Source organism: Homo sapiens, chromosome 4 (assembly GCF_000001405.40).
Source record: "Homo sapiens chromosome 4, GRCh38.p14 Primary Assembly".
In the NCBI taxonomy this organism is placed as follows: domain Eukaryota; kingdom Metazoa; phylum Chordata; class Mammalia; order Primates; family Hominidae; genus Homo; species Homo sapiens.
This window is the reverse complement of record NC_000004.12, coordinates 182624643-182642652: the sequence shown is the minus strand read 5'-3', so window position 1 is coordinate 182642652 and position 18010 is coordinate 182624643. Positions and strand designations below refer to the sequence as shown.

The 18010-nt window shown below is 37.3% G+C and overlaps 1 protein-coding gene and 1 pseudogene across 31 annotated transcripts in view, besides 1 other annotated feature; one reads left to right on the top strand and one right to left on the bottom strand.

Annotated features, from left to right (window-relative positions):
- TENM3 (teneurin transmembrane protein 3) overlaps window positions 1-18010 on the bottom strand; it is a 1355412-nt gene that overhangs the window by 160372 nt on the left and 1177030 nt on the right. For all 31 annotated transcript variants that reach the window (XM_017008385.2, XM_017008389.2, XM_017008390.2 and 28 more), the window contains one exon: window positions 13764-14002. In XM_017008385.2, coding sequence (XP_016863874.1) covers window positions 13764-14002 — 239 coding nt within the window. The remainder of the gene's footprint in view (window positions 1-13763; window positions 14003-18010) is intronic.
- On the top strand, window positions 10965-11199 carry RN7SKP67 (RN7SK pseudogene 67; annotated as a pseudogene).
- Window positions 16837-17337: an enhancer, noted in NCBI's record as "H3K4me1 hESC enhancer chr4:183546469-183546969 (GRCh37/hg19 assembly coordinates)". NCBI's record gives its function as "activates a minimal SCP1, AML or CMV promoter by ChIP-STARR-seq in primed H9 embryonic stem cells {active_cell/tissue: H9 hESC(primed)}" and the evidence as "EXISTENCE:reporter gene assay evidence [ECO:0000049][PMID:30033119]".

Sequence of the window (18010 nt, the reverse complement as noted above, 5' to 3'; positions counted from 1 at the left end):
CAATATTTTATATTTCTATGCTGTTTTTCCTTTCCATCCTTTCTTGGCATAATGCAATTAATGGGAAAAAAGAATCATATTGGCTATCAAAATGCCTTGATGGGAACACACAGTGATTTAGCTTTGAAGGTTTGTTTCTGCCAGGATATTTGACTCATATTCTTTTATAAATGATAACATTAAACAATTCTACTTGAAAGTTTCCTTGCATTTTTTCTTTCTGAACTACGTGGATGCAGAGTAAGACACCTATGGATGCGGCTCAGGAAATGCTAATTCCAGAGCTGCCTTTGACAGCCAATGCTGAAGCTGACAAAACGAAAATCAAGCTGTTGCTTCTGTCACAGAGAGAATTAAGTTAGAATTTCTAAAACAGACTGTTTTCCTGATGTTTCATTAGTTTTCTCTTGCTTAAAGGGTCTGTTCTCTGAATAAAAGAAGGATTCATCCTCCAATGTAATGGAAAGAACAAAGTGTTAACCGTCACGATCAGCTGCCCAAAGGGGTCAGCCATTACCTATAAGCTAGAGAATTTTTGAGATAATACTTGTCAATATTGAAGAGTATGGTAAGAGGACTTATTTCAATAACATTCAAAATACAGAATGAAATCATTTACATGATTTGTGGGTTATTCCCTGCTTCCCAAAATATTGAATTTGTTGTTATTGTGAAATGTATGTAATAGATGATTCATTAGTGAGTTACCTGCAGCTTTGCCATTGAAATCCAATAGATCTATCTCATTATTCAAAGGCTTGCAGTACTCACTCAATTTTCATTTGGGTTCCTTTCTCCCATAACAGCTTTAAGAATTGCACACATAGGCCAGGCGCGGTGGCTTGCGCCTGTAATCCCAGCACTTTGGGAGGCCGAAGCAGGTGGATCACTTGAGGTCAGGAGTTTGAGACCAGCTTGACCAACATGGCAAAACGCCGCCTCTGCTACAATCACAAAAATTAGCCAGGCGTGTGGAGCACACTTGTAATCCCAGCTACTCGGGAGGCTGAGGCAGGAGATTCACTTGAACCTATGAGGTGGAGGTTGCAGTGAGCTGAGATGGTACCACTGCACTCCAGCCTGGGTGACAGAGCAAGACTCTGTCTCAAAAAAAAAAAAACAACAAAAAAAAACTGCATACTACTTTTATGTAACAAATGTTTATGTATGCTACTGACTTAAGCATAAAATTATTTCTTCACTTGTTTTGGCTTTTTAAAAAATGGTAAAATATACAAACTGAAAATTACAATTCTTTGAAATTTTAAGGCATTGTAATCACCATTACTGAAAGATCCAACTATTGAAATATGGAGATCCTTAGAAGAATGTCAGTATATTAAAACATGGCAAAATCCGAAAAACAGCTCCTATGTAATAGTCCAGTTCTCCAAGGCGTTACATTTGAGACAGACACTGATTCGTGAGTGTGTGTATACGTGTGTGTGTTTGCACAGGTGCACGTGTATGTCAAGAGGAAACTTGAAACAGAATCAATGATCCTTCAGTAATGTAGGCACGAGCAGCTCATGTGATTTGTTGTTTATCACTCAGTCAACTAAGATGAAGTGGGTATCTGCCTTATCAAGTTCGGCTGGCTGTGAGACTGCCTTATCAAGTTCAGCTGGCTGTGAGAAGCAGAGGGCTGTGGAACCCACTACGGCCTCTGGGTGCCTGCAGCACCTTGTAGGTAAGGGTTATTTGGACAGAGGACATCAGTCTCCCATGAGTGTCTCATCTTACTCCTCAGGCAGAGGAGAAAAACGTTCTTATGAAGCCTGCGTTCCATTTGCTCCCTCTTCATCTGGGATCACTCGGAGAGCAGTTTTCCTTAGTTACTCCTAACTTAACCATTATTAATGAATATTTATGGAGCATTTGTGGAAATATATTTCAAAGCAAAACACAGAGGAAGCTGCAGTCTCTGATCCCTGGGAGACTTGCCCACACTGCCAGCCTGCTTCTGTATTTGGTGGTCTCAGTCTCCTTTCCTAAAAATAAATGGCCCACTTTCTTATTTTAAACATGCAATGCTTCTCTTTATGTGACTCTTTTCCAAGATCATGAAGAATGTATTTGAAGAAGTAAAAAAAGGCATCTAAAAATATCATTACTCTAAAAATGGAAAATGTAAAATTTATGATTATTTGAAATGACTGAAACAATATAGTTAGGTTTTATAAACAAATTCTATGTAACTCATATAGGCTTACTAACCATATCATGCAATTAGCTTGTTAAAACTAGAAATGTAGTTAACAAAAAGATTAAGGATCTGGAATAAAATTGGGAAACCCAGTGGAAAAGCCCCACAGCATTTTCAGTTCCCTCAGCAGTGATTCCTGTATTGGTAAAAATGTGCCGATCACCTTTATAATAGTGAACCTTCTATAGTATTATTTTGTAAGTCAGTATTTTACATTTATATACTTCTTTTTTAAGTGATTGACTTAAAATTTTAATACATTTATTTCTAAAGGAAATTCTGTATTACCTTAAGGGAAAAATCAGTGTATCTTGATATGAATAGAAATCAGCAAAATTACTCTTATTTACGTATTTTTGAGACAGAGTCTTGCTCTATTGCCAGGCTAGAGTGCAGTGGCACGATCTCAGCTCACCGCAACCTCCGCCTCCTGGGTTCAAGCAATTCTCCTGCCTCAGCCTCCCGAGTAGCTGGGACTACAGGTGCGCGCCACCACGCCCGGCTAATTTTTTGTATTTTAGCAGAGACGGGGTTTCACCATGTTGGTCAGGATGGTCTCAATCTCCTGAACCCGTGATCTGCCCGCCTCAGGCTCCCAAAATGCTGGGATTACAGGTGTGAGCCACCACACCCGGTCCAAATTACTCTTTATTTGTAAAAGAGATGTTAAAGGCAAGTGTCAGAGATGGCTAACATCTGCTGAGACCTTCCTCGTGACATAATCTGACATAAGAAAATAAGAATTCAAAATGGAATTCATTTCTCATTTTGTCTTTCATTGTTATTTATTCTTCAGTTCATGTTCTATCTATAAATTCTTAAACCTTAGGAGAAACAATGCTCTGTGATATAGTGGGAAAAGTTCTGGACTTAAAATAAGGAGACCTAGATTATGGTTCCTTTTAAAGGACTTGCTGACTGGACAAGTCACTGATTTTCTGGGCCTAAGATTTTTCTTTTAAAAAAGTGTGGATAATAGTACTTAATTTACTAGGTTGTTACAAAGAAGAAGAAGAAGAGCTAAAATTAACTGAGCACTTACATTTTGCCAGGCACATTATTCAATTTTCCCCATAGCTGTACTATTTTGAAACTTGTTTATATTGAGGAAGAAATTCAGGTTTACGAAGGTTAACTACCCTGTTCAAGATTACATAGTTATTAAGTGACAAAGGTGAGATACAAACACAAATCTGGCTGCTTTGAGAGTCTATACTTATTAACAGTATTTTAAAAATAAATTGTACTATGGTATACAAATTTCAAATTATATCTTGTCATATAAGAGTGTGAGATCACTGTGATAAATATTACTTCTTACTCATCTTTGTGAATTCAGTATTTAGAAAAGGTATTCAAAAACAGCTAAGTTTAATGAAATTGACTTTGATATTAGAAATAATTAAAAGGAGATACATGAAAAAATAAGCAAAAATCTGAAATCTGCAAAACCACCTGTACAATTTTCTCTCAAAACCAAGAGCCCCATATTCTACAAATTATATGCAGTAATCTTCTAGGTAGCTTTGGATATCCTTCTGTCTTTCTGGGAAATGCAGGATAATATGTGACAGGTTTCCTCTCCTTCAGGGGCAGGTGGAGGCTTACTGAAAGTCATAAAGAGAATGGGTTCCCCAGTGGAGGAGAAAACAGAAAGGATCAGGCAGTGGCTAAAGTATTAGGGTGATAAGACAATCCCAGGACAGAGCCAGCCAATGTCATGCCAGGCTGGCTGATGGACAGCCACCAGAAGAGGAGCATTAATTCCCTCCCGGATAAGTCACCACGATAAAATGTAACAGGTAACAGAAGGACTGGAAGTTCTTATCATTAATAACATGAAATCTTTTCTCAGAAAATATCTTAGTATTATACAGAGGTGGATCTAGCTAAAAAAACATACTTGTTCTTCGAGTCACTGTATAGACTGTACAATGGGAAGATGCACAATGGGGGGGCCTCAGAGTAAGATTCTTTGCACCTTTAGGCCCAACTCAATCATGAAAATGAGACGTGCTGACCTCCTTAGTTATCAAACACAGGGCAACATGACGCTTATCTCCAAACAGCTTTTGCGATGTAGGATACAGACACACACATCTGTATGTTTTTAATTTCTTCAAAACAGATTGAGTACTCATGAATGGAAAGAAGTCAGAGATATCTTTTCCTTTACCAGTTTTTAAAAACATTTTTTTGAAAATTCTTTATAAATAAAATTCTTAAAGCATGCATGTACGTTATCTGAAATTAAGAGAAAGGAACAAACAGAAAGAGACTATGGGATTCTTGCGGCAATTATAGATCTAGTTACCCCAAATTTCCAAAGTGACATTTCTACTTCTAGATGTTAACTGGAACACTGGGCTCTAGGTAAACTAAGTCAATAATGAAAACTAAAAAAAAAAAAAATTTTTCCCCTAACACATGGATAAATTTTCATTATATCACAATATATTAGTTTTAATACCCTGACAGTTGATATTTTTGGGTCACATTTAGGTTTATGTGGTAACACTTAGAATCTGTCCCTACGTCAGCATTTGTCAAAACACATAATCTCAGTTATTATTTAGGCCTTAGCAGGAAAATCTTGAATGCTCAGATTCAGTAAAGTTCTGTCTTTTATGCACTCTCTTAGTTTCCTACATTTCTCCTTTTCAAACAGTTACTATAACTGTAATTAATTACTCAGTGTTTGCATTCTACAAAAGAATATAATCTCTAAGAGGCAAGGACTGTATTTTCACTGCTGTCTCTGTCACAGTGTCTGACCCATGGTAGTCACCTGATAAATAAATGTTGAATGAATGACGGATGAATGAATGGTCAGTTCCTTTTCTGACAGGTGTTATATTACCAAAGTCACTAAAGAAGAAACTGGAATTTTTTTAAATCTATTTTTTATTTTTTAGAGATGCTCTTGCTATGTCGTTCAGGCTGGAGTGCAGTGGCTATTCACAGGCATGATCATCAGGCATTACAGCCTCAAACTCCGAGGCTCAAGTGGTGATCCTTCTGCCTCAGCCTCCCAGAAAGCTGTGACTACAGATGCTTGCCACCACGTCTGGCTTTGGAATCTTATTTTTAAGGAAAAGGGACAATGTGAGCAGTCTGCAGACATTCTAAGATGATGTGGGAACAACAAACTCTATACAAATTTAAATTTTATTTGTATATTCTAGGATGAAACCTTTGATATTTGTATCTTTATTTGTATATTCTAGGATGAAACCTTTGTTTGATATAGTTTCCATGAAACTTAAAGGTTTTATGCTGAATTCACTTCTAAAATTCCTAGTAATTCAAGTTTTTTTAACCTTATTTATGCCATTTACTTTTCTTTCACTCCTCTCTATGCAGACATTTCTCTCTGAATATGCCGCTGTTAGTACCACTAATGTAAAAGCAAATGACATATGCAACACCAATTAAATATTTATGCAACGTAGCAGTAAAGTGGTAAATATTGCATTAAGCTTTCCACTTGTCATTAGGAGATGTTGCTACGTTTTGCAAAAATGATAGTTTAAAACAGAGAAAACTTCACTATATTTCATGAATAAGATATTTATATCTAGCATAAACTGGATGTAAGCTGACTTTAAAGGTATTTCTTATTGTTCTGTCTTTGAATATTTTTCAAGTCAGAGAGATCCCTATATTTAAATGGTAAACACAATCTGTTTAAGTGTATTCTTTTCTTTTCTTTCTTTCTTTTTTTTTTTTTGAGACAGAGTCTCACTCTGTTGCCCAGGCTGGAGTACGGTGGCGCGATCTCTGCTCGCTGCAACCTCTGCCTCCTGGGTTCAAGTGATTCTCCTGCCTCAGCCTCCCGAGTAGCTGGGACTACAGGTGCGTGCCACCATGCCTGGCTAACTTTTTGTGTTTCTAGTAGAGATGGGGTTTCACCGTGCTGGCCAGGCTGGTCTTGAACTCCTGGCCTCCTCCCAAAGTGCTGGGATTACAGGTGTGAGCCACTGTGCCCGGCCAAGTGTATTATTTGCATATGTTATTTACTTTAGCTGACCTCATATCAAACTAAGAGTAAAATACATTATGTTTGTGGGGAGAGGAGGAGCTTACTTTCTATACTGGTAAATTCTTTTATTCTGAGTCTTTAATCACCATTGAATCAGGCTTAAATATGTCCTTAAGGATTCCAGAATAAAATAAAATATTGAAAAACTGATTCTAAATTTTTAGTCTTACAATTTTCCATCCTCTAAAATATAGGCAACACATTTTTTCCTACAATGTGATGAAATCATGTTAGTATTAAAATGCTTCCATACCATCTCAGACAAAAACGCATTTTCTGACTATAATGCAACTCAGAGTGAAGGGAAGAAGCTGTAGTGGAAAATGGTATGTAATTCATTGCTTGGCTGTGTTCTAGAACATTATAAAACAGCACTTTTATTACAAAGACATGTCCAAAAAGAAAAAAGAATGTCAAACACATTTTATTTTGCCATATATAGTTAAATGGCTGATTTTTCATGAAGCATAAAGGGCTGGCGTATTTTCCCTTCTGACCCTGAGTTGCACATATATAGCTACTACCATAATCAATTTCAAGGTACACAGAGAGGTAAAAGTGTTCATAAAATGCAAATAGGCCCAGAAGTAGGACAGATAACTGCTAAGGAATCATAACTGCAATGAACCTGGATTCGACAGGTTATGTTTTGCCAGATCTAGGGAATGCTTATGTTGTTAAACAGCCTTTTTAGCAGGCATATGACAACATGTATTTTAGAAATCAGTTGGTAGCAGCTGTTCAAAGGAAATAAATAACTACATATGTATTTTTTAAATGAAAGGAATAGTAAAAATTTGAGTAGTTCTCCGGTTTGCTATACTTGTCAGGAGCTCATAAGAAAAACAAAGCTGAGTTATTTGTTTTCATTGGGCAATGAGTTAGCAAAACAGTCCCTTAAAAATTTCAGATTTTTATGGAAACATTTTTGTGGGGATAAAAAAACTATTGGGTATTGACTGGGTGTTGGGAGGTAACAGCGAGTGACTGTTAAAGGATGCAGGGATTCTTTTTGGAGGTGAGAGAAATGTTCTGTATGGTAGCTGCAAAATTCTGTGGACATGTAACACTAAACACCATTGGACCGTATATTTAAATGGATAAATCACACAGTATGTGCACTGGGTCTCAATAAAGCTGTGATTTAAAACACTCTGTTGTCAAATGAATTACTGGTTAGGAAAAACCTGGCCAAAAGGGCAAGATAATTGAGAAAATATACCACCACAATATAGTCTGATAATATTTTTTTCTCTAGTGTTCCTTAAAAAGTTCATGTACAAATACCTTTGGTGCTACTGTACATGGAGAAATTCTCTGACTCTGCCTAGCAGTGCACAGAGATGCTCACGAAATTAAAGGTCTATAACGGTGTTATTTGAAGTCTGATTTGAGGGCTTATTTGCAGTTTAATTGGCGTCATCCCAAGCATTTATTATGATTTGCATGTAGCAATGCGTCAATAATGTTTATCCTTCATGAGGGATTTCTGGCCATTTTTCTATGTGTATAACATTGACATTTCAGGTTATCTTCTACCCAGAAAAAAGAGCTTTCTGTGAGCAAAGAACAGTATCAAGACTCCTACCCATCGTGTAACGGTGAACAGACGCAGAACATGGACTCTTCTCCTTTTTGCCATTCTTTGGTGAACAACTGGTGGTTACTGCTCATCTTTTTTTTTTTTTTTTTTTTTTAATTTCAGAGTCAAAAAAGAAGAATGAGTACATCAGGGCCCAGAGAAGTGCAACAGGTATTTCTTTGGGTAGGTCTGTATCACTAACTGTAATCATTGAACCTAACATTTGTGGTTAGAAATCAGTAGAATTTTTGTTGCGTAAAGGCACAGCAACTCAAAAGGTTAATGGATTAGAGCAGGATTTTAGCTGCAGGCTCAGTAATCCAAAGAAAATGGTAAGATGACTCCAATGAAAGAAAGTTTACCATATGTACATTTGATTTTTAAAAACTGGGATAGGTGAAATCATATCACATTTATTCTATCATGAGTCAGCTAAGGTTTCTCAATTCTGCTTGCTCCTCTATCCTAATAGGGCCTCATGATCTCCCAGTTATGGCTACTTTTCTAACAGGTTGTCTAGACTTGTACTATCCAAATGATAGTTCCTAGCCCCATGTCGCTGTTTGAGTTTAATGAAAAACAGCACAATTTAAACTTTGGTTTCTACAACTTACTAGCTACATTTCAAGTGCTCAACAGCCACATGTGTCTAGTGGCTACTAAATTGGACAGTGTGGAAACAGAACATTTCCATCATGAAACGGGACACGTGACAGCATTTCCTAGACCTGTGCTACTCATATTGTGGTCTGAGAAGCACGGCAGCATCACCTGAGAGCCTGCTGGAAAAACCAATCTCGGTTCTCACTTCGGATCTGCTAAATCAGGACGTGCATCTTAGCAAGGTCCCCAGGCGATTCCTAGGCACAGGAATGCTTGGAAAGCACAACTCTGGACCTCCTTTCATCATACTGCATGTTCTGGAAGGCCACTGAAACAATCTTTCAAAAGCATAAATGTGACTCCTTTTCACTCCTATGCTTAAATCTCTTCAATTTCTTCTCTATTTTTACTTCTTAAAAAACCTCACGGGAGACAGTATAGTGTAAGAGTCCTTGTGTGTGTGCCTTCAGGCGAGCCATCTCTCTAAGCCACAGATTACATTTGTTAAAAGAAGAAACCTCCTAAGGTTGTTGTGGAAATTAAATGAGGTAATTCATACAGTTTCTAGAACAGCGCCCGGCACAGTAAGCACTGCACATGCACCATGGCAGATATTTCGCATTTCTCCTTGCTGTTCCTCAGATGACCTCATCTCAAGGTGATTTTCTCACTAGCCATTGGCGTGAGGTGAACAAAGCTCCAGTTCATGCATCAGGTGCCAGATCAAGTCTTTCCCCCAAATCTACAGCAAAACGTAGGTATCGCCTTTCTTCTCTTTTTGCTCATCAAGCTGGTATGAAAGCATGTATGGTGTTAAGAGTGTTTTTATGCACGTCCTCATCACTTGACTATGAGCGTCTAGAATGAAGAGCTAATTTGGACCTCTGACATCTATCAGAGTGGCCAAGAAAATGTTAACTTAAAAATAGTTACTGAAAAACCATTAAGTACCAGAGTAAGTTGAAGAACATTTTTAAAAATCCTCGGCTGGGCACAGTGGTGGCTCATTCCTGTCATCTCAGCACTTTGGGAGGCTGAGGCAAGAGGACAGCTTGATCCTAGGAGTTTGAGACCAATCTAGGAAACATAGGGAGATCTTGTCTCTACAAAAAAATAAAAACAATTAGCTGGGCATGGTGGTGTGTGCCTGTAGTCCCAGCTACTAGGGAGGCTGAGATGGGAGGATCACTTGAGCCCAGGAGGCAGAGGCTGCAGTGAGCTGTGACTGCGTCGTTGCACTCCAGCCTGTGAGACAGAGTGAGATCTTGCCTTGAAAAAATAAAAATATAAAAGATAAATAAAAACTAATACTTAGATTAGATAAGTATGGCATGAAAGCTAGAAATTTAAAGAAAAAAACAGAGTGAGAACCTGTCTCCAAAAAATAAAAATATACCAAATAAATAAAAACTAACACTTAGATTAAATAAGGACTTTACAGGTATGTCTTGAAAGCCAGAAATATAAAGGGAAAAATACATTTGACGACTTTAAAACTTGTGAATGAAATATGGTAAAAATGACTCTGACCAAAGTTAATAATAAATTGGAGAAGTACATAACATGTGACAAAAAATTCATATCCTTAATTGAAAATAGCCTTTTTAAATCAAAAAGAAAAGAGAATAGCCCCAATAGAAAAGTGGAGGCTATTCACACACAAAAAGAGAAATACAAATGGCCAATAAATGTATGAGAAGATAGTCAGCGCTACTAGTAATAAATCAAAATAACAACCTTTTAACCTAAGAGATTGGCAAAAGTTAAAAATATGCATAATAAAATATAGACAGATAAATAGATGTAATGACTAGCGTTGGTGGTTATGTAAACTGACAGTTGCCATGGTTTTCAAAATTTAAAACATGCCTACTCTGTGGTACAGCAAACATCCTTCAAAAAATGTATACCAATAAAAAACTGGATCAAATGAACACATACGCACACACCAACATGCACGGACACAGGTACAAGAAAATAAGTCACTGTATTTTGGGGAACTAGTTAACTAAGAATAGCCACTAAATAAAATTATATAGATGATGTATAATGAATGATATGTGAGAAAAGCCTAGTATAAAATGCATTTAAAAATATGGACCTCTAGCTGTATATGTACATGGGACAATATCTGGAAGGATACACACCAAAAAGTTGACAGCATGCACTGTGGGATTACAATTAATTTTCACTTTTTAAGGTCTTTCTTTACTCTCTGAAATTTTGAAGAAATAGAAAAAATAAACAACAAAGCCTGTCCACCTCCCTCCCTCCCTCCTTGCCTCTCTTTCAGAAGCTGTTCACCTTGTCTATCCTGAGACAACTTACCTTAGAGAAGAGACATGTTAAATCTACATTGTCGTAAGTTCTCATTATCTTACTGGAAGGTAAGAAAAAATATTCGAAGAAATAATTCCTCAAGCTCTTTTTTAATGTCTTAGGCTTTTACTGTATATTAACGGTCAATATAAGAGAAGGGAATTCTAAGGGAATGGAAAAAAAAGCTTCAGGAAGGCTGCATTTCTGTTAAAGGTTGCAAGGTCAATCTCATGATGACATTGGTCTTCCTCATTGATACTGGGGTTTATCAGACTGATCTGGCTGGACGGGCAAGTGTTTCTTTTCTCCCTCTCTGCTTTACATGCACACTTAACAGAAAAGGACAGCCTTCCCTGAGAGAAGTGTCCTGTTCTTTTCTTCAAGGGTAAAGGCAACGTCTTTAATCAAAAAAGATTTACCATGCGAACTGATGAGCGAATGAAATTTTTTTACCTGATTAAAAATAAAATCATTGTGTTAGTGTGTTAGCCCTTTAAATATAGGAAGACCAATGAAAATTGGAAGCACACATGTGCTTAATTAAAGTGATAAAAGTATGAGACAATTCTTTGAAGATAAAAGTAATTTTTTTGCTAGATAACACTGGGATTGTATCTTCTTAATTCCTAGCACAATAACTAGATCAAAACAAATGTTCAATAAATATCTGTTGAACTGAAAACCCTACATGAGTATATTAACTAGATAATTTGCATGTTGCCATGTGGGGAAAAATAAAAGCAAAGGGAAGGTTTATGACCATGGTACTAGTAGGAATAAAGCAGATTGGTAATTACTAAAAAGTAAAACTAGGCAATATGAAAAAAAAAGGAAAATTTTGAGTTTTTACTTAGAAGTCTGAGAGTTATATTCACTAATGGGTCCTTAAAAAGAGTACAAGTCTCACAGGTAACAGTGACTGATCTCACATTAAAATGCTATTTTTTCCTGCTAGTCACACCATGAAAATAAAATTAAATGGCATTAGAATTGATATTCAAAATATTTAACAACTGGAAGCACACAGGCACTTATCAATCAGAAAGGATGCCTGACCAGTCAACCTGACACTGAATTCCAGCCCTGAATATTTATCTACCTGGTGTGCCCCATTTAGTAAAAAAAAAATAATAATAATAAAATAAAATAAATAAATAAATAAAATCCCCAACAAACACATATTCTTTTTTATTTTTAAGTTCCAGGGTGCAGGTGCAGGATGTGCAGGTTTGTTACATAGGTAAATGTGTGCCATGGTGGTTTTGCTGCACCTGTCAACTCATCACCTAGGTATTAAGTCCAGCATGCATTAGCTGTTTTTACCTAATGCTCTCCCTCCCCTCAGCCAACCCCATGACAGGCCTCAGTGTGTCTTGTTCCCTTCCCTGTGCCCGTGTGTTCTCCTTGTTCAGTTCAAATACATATTCTTAATTTATTACATCCCATTTATGACTGGTCCCTTTCAGAACCATTTAAAATTCTTTAGCAGCACACTTCTGACAGGTACAAATAATATACACAGCTAACTAGAAGAGAATCTCTTGATGGCTGATACATTTTCTAACCGAATACTAGAAATCTGTCTCTGGAATATTGATTTTTGTTGTGAAATTACTCATTTACCTTCACTGTTATGAAACAACAGCAGTATTGTTTCACTAGGGTGTGATCCTAGTCAAGAGACAACCCCTTCAGTATCTGGTTTGACCGTCTTTATAAGGAGAAAGTTAACTTAGATTAAAAGATGACAGAAAGGTAACAGAAAGGTTTCATCTTGCTTTTACCTCTGACTGGTAGAGGCCGTCAGAGGTACTGTATGAAGCACTCTGATGAAGATAAGCAGCATGTAATCGGGTTAAGGAGAGAAAGTGCTGTGAATCATTAATGATGTCTTCCATGGTCAAAAAATTGGAAAAAATACTGTATAACTTGTCACGTAGTTGCCATTCCTGACTCAATTGTCTCTAAAGTTCCTTCATGCTCTACAATTCTGTTTTCCCATTGAACACTGACACAAAATGGTTATTTCACTTTCCAAAGTGCATAATTATATCACAGGAGTATTGTAGCCAGTGGAAGATACTGGTCCACTGCAGAAACATCATAGTATTCTACATACAGCTCTGCAATACTCTTATTCAGTTATAGAATTTCATGGGGCATCACAAATTGCTTTGTAAACCTGAGGATGCATCACTGGCTATTGTTCTTGGTGGATAAACCACAAAGCCTGTGATTTATCTCAGTGGACACCATTAGCATTTCAATGTGGTAGGCCTTTTCCTATACTTAGAAGAAGATCAAAACACAATGTGGTCATTTCTGGCATTTTAAAAAGCGATTTCCAGTAGTGTGAATGCTCAGATATGTTATGAAATGGTTAAATAAAAGCAATATTTACAACTTCTATTAGTAGCTTCCATTATTTGGGTTACTATCAAATGAAAAACATGATCAATACTACATCAGAAGAGAAGAAAAATCCACATATATGAATGAGTATATAATCCATTCATTGCTTTATGGACGCCCAGTTCTCTGGAGAGTGTTCCTGAGTGCAAGATGATGGCCCTGAGTGATGAGTTTTACATTTAGATGGCTGAGTGAGCTGAGAGACTTACAATATCACAAGCAGTGGAGAGCTCCCTATTGAGTACGCATTGAAGGAAATCCTGCACAGGGTTCATTACTGCAAGCGCATGAATTATTTTGTGTACATGAAATGCCACAGAGCTATCCATGTTTCACAAGGGATAAGTCAAACACAAATGTACCCTATAGCTTTTGTCCAAGAATATTACCTCACTACCCACAAAACCTGCTTTTCTATGTATCTAAATTTGCTGAAAATTACTGAAAATACTCTGTGATTTATGATACATTATTACCAAACTCACCCCCACCAAATATAATCTCACAATATATTTCTAGACCAAATGAATAAATACAAGTAATAAAACAATGTAACACCCTGATTTACAGACAAAGTAATTCTAAGAACTTGTTCTTACCTATAAAATAAGACAGGAGTATTGCCAGGAGCACCGAGACCCCTACGGCACACAGTGCAGTGCATTTCCAGCTACAGTACTTTGAAGACTTCTTGAATTTAAAAGCACTTCTTGATAGGGTGTTTCTAGGTAGTGGCCGAGTAGGTGGTGAATAAACAGAGCCAGATGCCATTGTGTATCCTGGGGTTGCAGTACTGAACAGTGGCGTTGTACCTGTTCCTGTTTTGAATAGGAAATGCCTGTGGAAAAGGAGAATATCATTATAAGATACAAATATGTTACGATACAAGAGACAAGAGACAGCGATGCATTTAGCTCTCCTGTCTCTTTTGCTCTCTCTCTCTTTTTTAAAAGAATTTATCCTATATAACCTAAAACATTAAAAATTAAGGAAATGTTTTAACCAAAGAATCTAACTCACAATAATGACTCTAATGAAAGAGACTGATTTCTAATGTAGATAGCAGGATTTATACATATAAATGATCATAAATGATCACTGTCCCTTCAAGTAGACATCTTGAGAGACTATAAAGATTTTCTAATCATACTGTTTCCTGAACAAAACCATTTTGGAATGTCCCTTGATGAATTACCCTAAGAGCATTTTCACAGTTAGCAAAAGAAACCCAGCTACATGGCCATTTACTACTCATGAGACTATGCGCTCATATAAACACGAGTATGCATGATCACGCGGATCTTCTGCAGACTGATTTATTTTCTGGATGTCCATGGAAACACTGTCCTCTTGGCCTGCTTCTCTGCTAATAAGTACTATAAAAACAAGTTCGGTTACAGGCAGCTGCTCAGTTCTCAAACGATGCAAACTATTTTATTGTTAGCTTATGTCAAACATAATCAGGAGTGTGAACCTGCTGGGGGTAGGGACAGGGAAGGAATCATGGAACATCTTCTAACACCAAACCTAAATAAATGAAGGGGTCAGTGAAGCAGATTCTGGATCAAATACGGAAACATTCCCTAACCACCGAGCCATACAACAGAGAGCAAACTGTCTCTAAAAGTTGTATGCTGTCTTCCTTGACAATGTTTAAGCAGAAATTGTGTGGTCACATGACAAGAGCACTGTAAAAGGAATTCTTCAGGAAAGGTAACTAATTTTAATATTCCTATTAACAACAGAAGTCTCCAAATTTTAAAAAAGCACCATTTGTTTCATGGTTTACTTTTAATATTATGCTGGTTACTTACAGTATATTCAGTGAGTATCCACTGAATATACAGTATATTCAGTAAGTGACACTTATTACGATGTTCCTAATACATTCAATGAAGTCAACAGACTGTGCTCTCTTTCACATTCAGAAGATACAGAGATCTTCCAATCTGATATGGTACAGTCTTTATGCAAGGTCATTTTAGATAAGACATAGCTAAATACTTCTAATTTTAATACTCATATACTTATTGTATATTGGAGAAATACTGAATATATCAAACAAATTAAGGGGCTAATAGGACAGAATTGGGAAGCCAGACTGCCAAGGTTCAAATTCCACCTAACCACTTAGTAGGTATGTGTCCCTGGCGAGTTACTGAAAGTCAGTTTTGGTTTCTTAATGTATAAAATGAGGATGGTAATAGTATCTACCTCACAGGGTTATTATGAAACTTAAATGAGTTAATATTTAAAGTAAAGTGCTTGGAATATACCAAGTGTTATGTAAGTATCCAATTAATAAAAAAGGATCACACTCATTTATTTTATGTATATTATTGCTTAGAAAAGGCTGAATAGGTATTTAAAAGTTACAAAGAATCAATCTCCAGAAAACTATTACGTGAAAAATAGTGAAGCTGGTCTACAGATACGGTAAAAGTCATGAAAGTTGGCCTAATACAGGTCGGTAGAGTGGAAAGAATTCTGGATTGAAAATCAGTCCCTGGTCTATCATTTCCTAGTAATGTGGTCCTAGGGAACCTCAGTTTTTTTTCTTGACCTGTAAAAAAAATGGCACTAATGACTTACTTATTTTAACAGGGTTGCAAAACTAGAGCTTTTAGAGACTAGAGCTAATGTCTCTAAAAAATGCTTTGTCAAACACAAAATTAGAACAGATGCAAATGATGAGTTGCCACTTGTACAAATTATACTAGCGACTGTATTATGAGCCCATCTCCCCCCACTGAACTACTTTAAAAAGCTAATTTAAAAGTTTATAGCCTGAATTAAGTGATATGTTGGAGGCAGCATCAGTACCTCCTACCATATTCAGCCTGGTTATTAAGCGCTCTGAAACAACACTGTCTGAGTTCAAAGCCAGACTTCACCTATAAATAGCTGCAAGATGGTGGGTAAGTTACTCAAGTTTTGTGTCTTGGTTTTATCATCTGTAAAAAGGGCATAATAACAGTACCTACAGTTTACAGGCATTTTCCAAGGATTAAATGAAGTAATGCATATATAAAGTGTTTACATTAGTATCTAGCACAAGGTAAGTGCTCAATAAGCATTAGTTATTTATTATTTTGCTCAAAATCACATATCACAGTCTCTATTCAAAGGACCAAAAAAGTATAATTTGAAGATTTTAAATGCCAATTCAAAATGTAACATCATCAAAACGAATGTGTACAAAATTAATTCCCTGGTTTACAAATTTGATACTGGCGATTTCACACTGGCATGTAGTCTGGATAAGAAGATGGACTATGTCATTTAGATCAGGCATCAGCAAACTTTTGCTGTAAGGGACCACAGAGTAAATATTTTAGGCTTTTCCAGCGATATCACTGAACTCTGCTGTTCTATCGTGAAAGCCGCCATAGACAATGCATACATGTTTAACTCTGGCTCTGTTCCAATAACACTTTTTTGTAGACATTGAAATTTTAACTTTATAGAATTTTCCCATGTCATGAAATCTTTTCTTTTCATGCTGTCAATTATTTAAAGATGTGAAAACCATTCTCTGCTCACAAGCAGTACCAAAAAGTAAGGAACAGGGCTAGATCTGGCCTGTGAATCATGTTGGCCCGGACCTAGATTCTCGCTCTTTTCAGGATTATACATGAAGAGTGAGCAGGAGGCTCAGCAGCCCGTAGAAACAGCCTATTCCCTCAACGCCACTGGAGAGGATTTAAAAGGCAGCCTAAAGGGTGCAAAGCATGCCTCTTGTGAAGCTTGGACAGATCCATGTAATTGGACAGACATCCTATTATTATCTTCTGGAAGTTCCACCCTAAAAAGTCCTGGCAAACACTGGTGTATGAATTTCACAGGGCCAAATGATCATCTTTGCCAAGTATAGGAAAAGGACTGACATTTCCTATGACTGTGGGACAATTCGCTTACTTTACTGCAGCGGTCCCCAACGTTTTTGGCACCAGGGACCGGTTTCGTGGAAGACAATTTTTCCCTGGACCAGGAATAGGGGGGTGGGGAGGATGGTTTCGGGGTGAAACTTTTCCACCTCAGATCATCAAGCATTAGATTCTCGCACAACCTCGATCCCTCACATGCGCAGTTCACAACAGCGTTTGTGCTCCTGTGAGAATCTAATGCTATCTCTGATCTGACAGGAGGCGGAGCTCAGGCAGTAACGCTCCCTCCCCCGACTGCCACTCACCTCCTGCTGTGTGGCCCAGTTCCTAACAGGCCGCAGATCTGTACTGGTCCACAGCCCAGTGGTCGGGGACCCGTGCTACAAGTGTGGGCTTTGGCATCAGCTCAGTCTTGGATGACCCCTCCTGGTATCACCGATGGACCTGAGCTAGGTGTCCATTCTGTCGGCTTCATTAACAACAATAATGATAACTGCCATTTCCTGAGTACCTACTAAGCACTGTATTGTTGTTTCATTACAATTTTCACCATAATGCGGTGAAGAATAAAATGCCTATTTGTATTTTCAGCCTTCATCCTCCAAATCTCAGCTCAGACGTTACTACTTGACCACCCAATCCAAAGCCCTGTTCCCTCTACTCTCCATAGTATTACCACGTATTATCATTTTCTTCAAAGTGCTTATTACAATCAGTGATCTTGTTATTTATTTGTGCGGTAAATCAAGTTTCTGAAGTACTATTGAAAGCATGTTTTTTCCTCCTGACTTTTTTCCCTTTCTGTGTTTCCTCTGCCTCAATCCTCTCATTCTAGTTTTATTTCATTGCCTCCAGGAGAAATGAAATAAGATGAAGGAAGAAATAGCTTGAGTCTCTTACCGGTTTTCTAAAGCCCAGACTGCTGAGTGAAATAGAGTGGACTGGGGAGAAAAATGGTG